We start from the raw sequence: 7,748 nt of genomic DNA, 5'->3' as shown, positions 1-7,748 counted from the left end.
TTGTATCCTTTGGTGATATTAATAGGAATGCATGAAATGGAGATCATTGCATAAACAAGACCTGACTGCTCCCAGTATGCACTCTAATCAGTGAGACCCTGAGCACAGTATTTTTGAGTGACTGAAGAAGTATTAGGTTGGTGAAAAAGTAATTGCAATTTTTGCCATTGCTTTTAATGGCAAAAACCACAATAATCAATAATTATCAACCAGGAAGTATCATTGAAAAATAGTAATTCATCCAAGTGACAATATTGTGAAATCTGCGATTGTTTTAAAACCCTGTTTTATGGCAGGGAGAAAAGATGATGTAGCAGTCTTCGATGAATAATATCAATCAGGGACATTGAATGTGGGGAACATTGCCCTTGAATATTAATTTTCTGTCTTCCAAGAATTGTAGAATAGTTCAGAGGAAGTCAAAAACACAAGAGACATTGGATACAAAAATGCTACTAAGTGAAAGAAAACTGAGATGTAAATTTATTTTTTACTTTTTTTATTTTTTTTATTTTTATTTTTTTTATTGATCATTCTTGGGTGTTTCTCGCAGAGGGGGATTTGGCAGGGTCATAGGACAATAGTGGAAGGAAGGTCAGCAGATAAACAAGTGAACAAAGGTCTCTGGTTTTCCTAGGCAGAGGACCCTGCGGCCTTCCGCAGTGTTTGTGTCCCTGATTACTTGAGATTAGGGATTGGTGATGACTCTTAACGAGCATGCTGCCTTCAAGCATCTGTTTAACAAAGCACATCTTGCACTGCCCTTAATCCATTTAACCCTGAGTGGACACAGCACATGTTTCAGAGAGCACAGGGTTGGGGGGTAAGGTCACAGATCAACAGGATCCCAAGGCAGAAGAATTTATCTTAGTACAGAACAAAATGAAAAGTCTCCCATGTCTACTTCTTTCTACACAGACACGGCAACCATCCGATTTCTCAATCTTTTCCCCACCTTTCCCGCCTTTCTATTCCACAAAACCGCCATTGTCATCCCGGCCCGTTCTCAATGAGCTGTTGGGTACACCTCCCGGACGGGGCGGCTGGCCGGGCAGAGGGGCTCCTCACTTCCCAGTAGGGGCGGCCGGGCAGAGGCGCCCCTCACCTCCCGGACGGGGCGGCTGGCCGGGCGGGGGGCTGACCCCCCCACCTCCCTCCCGGACGGGGCGGCTGCCAGGCAGAGGGGCTCCTCACTTCTCAGACGATGGGCGGCCAGGCAGAGACGCTCCTCACTTCCCAGACGGGGTGGCGGCCGGGCAGAGACGCTCCTCACCTCCCAGACGGGGCGGTGGGGCAGAGGAGCTCCCCATATCTCAGACGATGGGCGGCCAGGCAGAGACGCTCCTCACTTCCCAGACGGGGTGGCGGCCGGGCAGAGGCTGCAATCTCGGCACTTTGGGAGGCCAAGGCAGGCGGCTGGGAGGTGGAGGTTGTAGCGAGCCGAGATCACACCACTGCACTCCAGCCTGGGCACCATTGAGCACTGAGTGAACGAGACTCCGTCTGCAATCCCGGCACCTCCGGGAGGCCGAGGCTGGCGGATCACTCGCGGTTAGGAGCTGGAGACCAGCCCGGCCAACACAGCGAAACCCCGTCTCCACCAAAAAAATACGAAAACCAGTCAGGCGTGGCGGTGCGCCCCTGCAATCGCAGGCACTCGGCAGGCTGAGGCAGGAGAATCAGGCAGGGAGGTTGCAGTGAGCCGAGATCGCAGCAGTACAGTCCAGCTTCGGCTCGGCATCAGAGGGAGACCGTGGAAAGAGAGGGAGAGGGAGAGGGAGAGGGAGAGGGAGAGGGAGAGGGGAGAGGGGAGAGGGGAGAGGGAGAGCGTAAATTTTAAATGTTATATTTTTGAAAGTGACTGAAGAATGGAAAATTTGGGGAGCACTATGGGAGATGGCTTCTACTCAACAGCAGTGTGATAGGTATGTATTCTGTGTCTGGGGAGCACTATGGGAGACTGCTTCTACTCAACAGTACTGTCATAGGTATGTATTCTGTGTCTAGGGAGCACTATGGGAGACTGCTTCTATTCAGCAGTGTGATAGGTATGTATTCTGTGTCTGGGGAGCACTATGGGAGACTGCTTCTACTCAGCAGTGTCATAGGTATGTATTCTGTGTTTGGGGAGAACTATGGGAGACTGCTTCTACTCAGCAGTGTCATAGATATGAATTCTGTGTCTGGGGAGCACTACGAGAGACTGCTTCTACTCAACAGTACTGTCATAGGTATGTATTCTGCGTCTAGGGAGCACTATGGGAGACTGCTTCTACTCAGCAGTGTCATAGGTATGTATTCTGTGTCTGGGGAGCACTACGGGAGACTGCTTTTACTCAGCAATGTCATAGGTATATATTCTGTGTCTGGGGAGTACTACGGGAGACTGCTTTTACTCAGCAATGTCATAGGTATATATTCTGTGTCTGGGGAGCACTATGGGAGACTGCTTCTACTCAGCAGTGTCATAGGTATGTATTCTGTGTCTGGGGAGCACTATGGGAGACTGCTTCTACTCAGCAGTGTCATAGGTATGTATTCTGTGTCTGGGGAGCACTACGGGAGACTACTTTTACTCAGCAATGTCATAGGTATATATTCTGTGTCTGGGGAGCACTACGGGAGACTGCTTCTACTCAGCAGTGTCATAGGTATGTATTCTGTGTCTGGGGAGCACTATGGGAGACTGCTTTTACTCAGCAATGTCATAGGTATATATTCTGTGTCTGGGGAGCACTATGCGAGACTGCTTCTACTCAGCAGTGTCATAGGTATGTATTCTGTGTCTGGGGAGCACTATGGGAGACTGCTTCTACTCAGCAGTGTCATAGGTATGTATTCTGTGTTTGGGGAGCACTATGCGAGACTGCTTCTACTCAGCAGTGTGATAGGTATGTATTCTGTGTCTGAGGAGCACTATGGGAGAATGCTTCTACTCAACAGCACTGTCATAGGTATGTATTCTGTGTCTAGGGAGCACTATGGGAGACTGCTTCTACTCAGCAGTGTCATAGGTATGTATTCTGTGTCTGGGGAGAACTATGGGAGACTGCTTTTACTCAGCAATGTCATAGGTATATATTCTGTGTCTGGGGAGCACTATGGGAGACTGCTTCTACTCAGCAGTGTCATAGGTATGTATTCTGTGTTTGGGGAGCACTATGGGAGACTGCTTCTACTCAGCAGTGTCATAGGTATGTGTTCTGTGTTTGGGGAGCACTACGGGAGACTGCTTTTACTCAGCAATGTCATAGGTATATATTCTGTGTCTGGGGAGCACTATGGGAGACTACTTCTACTCAGCAGTGTCATAGGTATGCATTCTGTGACTGCCATGCTCTAGGCATTGTGCTATAATGTGGGGAGATACTGTGAACTAGAGAGATGATATCCCTCCTCCTATAGAGCTCACAGGCCTGTGGAAGAGAGAGACGCCAAGAGCAAAGAAAGGACAAATAAATGGGTTCTACTATTTCATATGACCAGTTTTATACATAAAAGGTCAGGGTATTGTAATTAAGGACAGCAGTGAAGGATGCAGGAACCAGATGAGGATCATTTCACTCAGGGATAACTAAAAGAGGAGAGAGTTTTCTGCTGAGGAAGTGTGTCAGCTCCAAGAAATCCAGCATGGCCAGGAAAAAGCGAGGGTCATGTGCACTGGATGTGGTCAGGTACGTCAGCTGAACTCAGTTTCTCTTTCATGTTTCTGTGACCATGACCATGAACTTATCGCATTGTTAAGTCTGCAAGTCACGCTGAATTAACTACACAATGCCCGTTCTGTCTCCTTAAACTGTATCACTTCTTTCATTACCTCAGTTTCCACAGCATTCTAGTATATCTACTTACCTCAACTTGGCTCAGAAGGCAATAGGGCCTGAGACTGTGGCATTTGGACAAGAATGTTCAAGATGTCCACCCAGCTTTTGTTTTTGAAATGATATTATGTGTTCAGTTTTTCCTCATGTAAAAAATAATAAATTCAGGTCAATGCCATTATGTGGTTTTGATTACATTGATTATATTTGTGGAATATCTTTTTTTGCTCTGTAAATGCAGTTTATGAGCACCATAGGTAATTTAACATATATATGAAGCAAAAAGAAGAAATAAAGTTATCTGCAATACCATCATCAAATATATTTCCTATAAAAATTTATTTTCAATATATATTTTTAATATATAATATGGATAATATATAGTATCTTTTTTATATTCTATATATACTATAGAAGTATATATACTATATATCATATAGAATATACCATAGATTCTATATATACTATAGAATCATGCCATATATAGCTCTATATCTGCATAAATAAAATTGTGTACAGAGGCTCATGTCTTTAGTTACTTTAAGAAATATTACATTTTTGGATATAATTTAAAGTTTCATAACATTTTGCCTTTGAAACAGAATTTATAAAACATTTTTCTCTTATTTTAAATGTAGGCTTATTAAAATTTTTGCTTATCTAAAACAACACTGAAATGAATATCTATGTAAAGAATTCCTCGATTCTCTTTGTGATAGGTCTTTAAATAAAAAAGTGTTCATTTCTAATTTATATATCCAAGTTGCTTCCTCTCAACAATCTATCATGACAGAGGGCAGAACCTGGTGACATCTTTTTACTTTATTCACAACAGTACTGATGATCATTTATTTTTTTTCTTTCTGTAATTCAGCAGTAAGAGTGAGATCTTGTTGTAGATATTCTGGATATAGTTTACATTTTTATCATTAATGTCTTGTATTTGTGTTATCTGCAAATTCTTTTTTAGTAAAGTGTGCAATTAAAAAATATGTCTACATTATTCTGATATTAATAATATCTAAGTGATGGCTATATGTTACTAATCTTTATCTTTTGCTTTGTCATAGATCCAAAAAAATTTTCCAAGTAAAATAATAATCTACTCTTTAATTCCCAAATATATATATATATATATTTTTTCTCTTTTCAAATCCTAATTTATTTTCCATAGTATTTACTTTGTTTTTTCAACTTTCATTTTAGATTCAGGGGGTACATGTGCAGGTTTCTTACCTGGGTATAGCGTGTGATGCTGAGGTTTGAGTTATGGGTGATCCCATTACCCAAGAACTGAGCATAGCACCCAGTAGTTAGCTTTCTAACCTTTATCTCCCCCGACTCGTTCCCCATCTAGCAGTCCCTGGTTTCAATTGTTGACATCTTTATATCCATGAATACATGGTATTTTGTTTGTTGTCTTTGTTTATACATTAGACAAATCTTTACCCATATATTTTCTAGTTGTTTTAGAGTTTCATTTTCTACAGCTGTAATCAATTTTATTTTTTATATGTAAAAACAGTATATAACATTTATTCCTAACGTGTTATTAAAATTTCAGAATATTTAAGTAATTTTTTCTCAATCACTGAATCACAGTGGCAACTTTGCTGCTTGTGTTTTCAAAGAGTTGTGCTAAAACCATGGCAGGGAACTACACCTTCCTTTCCATTGCCATGTAATGTCCAAAATGAACCAATCTGTTGATGAGAAAACACCTCTCCCTCTCTTGTCCAACTCTTATATTTTCATCAGTTTATGACACTAGAAAGCTTCAGTAATTTCATTAAGTACTACTATTTAATAAATATATTAATACATAGATTTTAGTTTGAAATAGACCATAGTTCCACTAAGGCTGCCTAGCCCTGTTTCTAGTTAACACACATAAAATGCGCATATGTAGAATAATTAAATAGTAGGGTTTATGTTAAAACAATATTTAAATAAATATTCCACTACCTCTTTATGTTTCCTAATATGAGGAATTTTAAAAATTCACTTTTATGAAAACCCATAACATTCTCTTAGTTCATTTTCTATAAAGAAAATACATTTATTCCTTACAATTATGTAGGCTGAGAAGTCCAAGGGCAAGGGTCCACATGCAGCGAGGGCCCTCCTGCCAGCACGGACTCCCTGCAGAGCCTCAGGCAGACCAGTGGGGACCCTCCTGCCAGCACGGACTCCCTGCAGAGCATCAGGGGGACCAGTGGGGACCCTCCTGCCTGCGGGGACTCCCTGCAGAGCCTCAGGCAGATGAGTGGGGACCCTCCTGCCAGCAGGGACTCCCTGCAGAGCATCAGGGGGACCAGTGGGGACCCTCCTGCCTGCGGGGACTCCCTGCAGAGCCTCAGGCGGATGAGTGGGGACCCTCCTGCCAGCAGGGACTCCCTGAAGAGCCTCAGCAGGACCAGTGGGGACCCTCCTGCCAGCACGGACTCCCTGCAGAGCATCAGGGGGACCAGTGGGGACCCTCCTGCCTGCAGGGACTCCCTGCAGAGCCTCAGGTGGATGAGTGGGGACCCTCCTGCCAGCAGGGACTCCCTGCAGAGCATCAGGGGGACCAGTGGGGACCCTCCTGCCTGCGGGGACTCCCTGCAGAGCCTCAGGTGGATGAGTGGGGACCCTCCTGCCAGCAGGGACTCCCTGCAGAGCCTAAGCCGGACCAGTGGGGACCCTCCTGCCAGCGTGGACTCCCTGCAGAGCCTCAGGCAGACCAGTGGGGACCCTCCTGCCAGCGGGGACTCCCTGCAGAGCCTCAGGCAGACCAGTGGGGACCCTCCTGCCAGCACGGACTCCCTGCACAGCCTCAGGCGGACCAGTGGGGACCCTCCTGCCAGCGCAGACTCCCTGCAGAACCTAAGGTGGACCAGTGGGGACCCTTCTGCCAGCGGGGACTCCCTGCAGAGCCTCAGGTGGACCAGTGGGGACACTTCTGCCAGTGTGGATTCCCTGCAGAGCATGAGGTGGCACAGGACATTACATGATGAGGGAGCTGAGCAGTCTGATGTGCTAGCCAAGATCTCTCTTCTTCTTATAAAGTTAATCTCACTTCTATGATAATCCATTAATCCATGAATTAATTAATTCATTTATGAGAGCAGAGGCCTCACAACCAAATCACCTCTTAAAGGCCCCACATCTGAATACTGCTACATAAAAAATTAATTTTTTTAGAGTGTCATTTTGGTTTTAATCCACAAATTATTTTTCAAAATTTCTGTGGGTATATGTTAGGTGTATATATTTGTGGAATACATGAGATGTTTTGATACAGGCATGCAGTGTGAAATAAGCCCATCATGGAGGATGCGGCATTTATCTTCTTAAGCATTTATCCTTTGCATTACAAACAATCCAATTACATAGGTTCAGAAGTACTTGTGTAGGTGTCATATAGGTAAATTGCATGTCACAAGGGATTGGTGTACAGATTATTTCATCTTCCAAGTAATAAGCATAGTACCCTATAGGTAGTTTTTCTATTTGTGTATTTTTAATATTAAATCCCAATCTCTAGAAACACTAATACAAATAATTCTTTTTAAGTTATCGACAACTTAGTCACATACAAAATTGTTTCACAATGAGCAGGTCTATACAAACCTATCCAAAGTTGGAGGAAGCTGAGATGCTGAAGATAGAGGCTGATAAATACAGTTTCTTAGGCAGAAACAATTAATAGGGACTTATGAACAGAAGCCATGTGTGTGTCTCAGGCAGCAGTGAGATGAGATGGCAAATTCCTGTGCCATTAACCCCAAAACCCAGGACTTATATGCCATAGGGAAGGAATGATTCAGAAGGCATGTGTAGGACAATTGAAGTATGATAACATAAAAGTTGTTTGACCTAAGGGCAGGATTTATAATAAGTACCTGTTCTTACACGAGGAGCAATAAATAAACTGGAAATCTTAAA

At 43.6% G+C, this 7,748-nt stretch overlaps 2 annotated features.

Moving 5' to 3' along the window:
* Window positions 440–1,093: an enhancer, noted in NCBI's record as "NANOG-H3K27ac hESC enhancer chr1:248840293-248840946 (GRCh37/hg19 assembly coordinates)". NCBI's record gives its function as "activates a minimal SCP1, AML or CMV promoter by ChIP-STARR-seq in primed H9 embryonic stem cells {active_cell/tissue: H9 hESC(primed)}" and the evidence as "EXISTENCE:reporter gene assay evidence [ECO:0000049][PMID:30033119]".
* Window positions 1,094–1,748: an enhancer, noted in NCBI's record as "H3K27ac hESC enhancer chr1:248839638-248840292 (GRCh37/hg19 assembly coordinates)". NCBI's record gives its function as "activates a minimal SCP1, AML or CMV promoter by ChIP-STARR-seq in naive H9 embryonic stem cells {active_cell/tissue: H9 hESC(naive)}" and the evidence as "EXISTENCE:reporter gene assay evidence [ECO:0000049][PMID:30033119]".

The sequence above is a fragment of the Homo sapiens genome, chromosome 1, assembly GCF_000001405.40.
Source record: "Homo sapiens chromosome 1, GRCh38.p14 Primary Assembly".
Lineage (NCBI taxonomy): Eukaryota > Metazoa > Chordata > Mammalia > Primates > Hominidae > Homo > Homo sapiens.
Note: the sequence above shows the minus strand (reverse complement) of the source record. Positions and strands in the feature narration are given on the sequence as shown.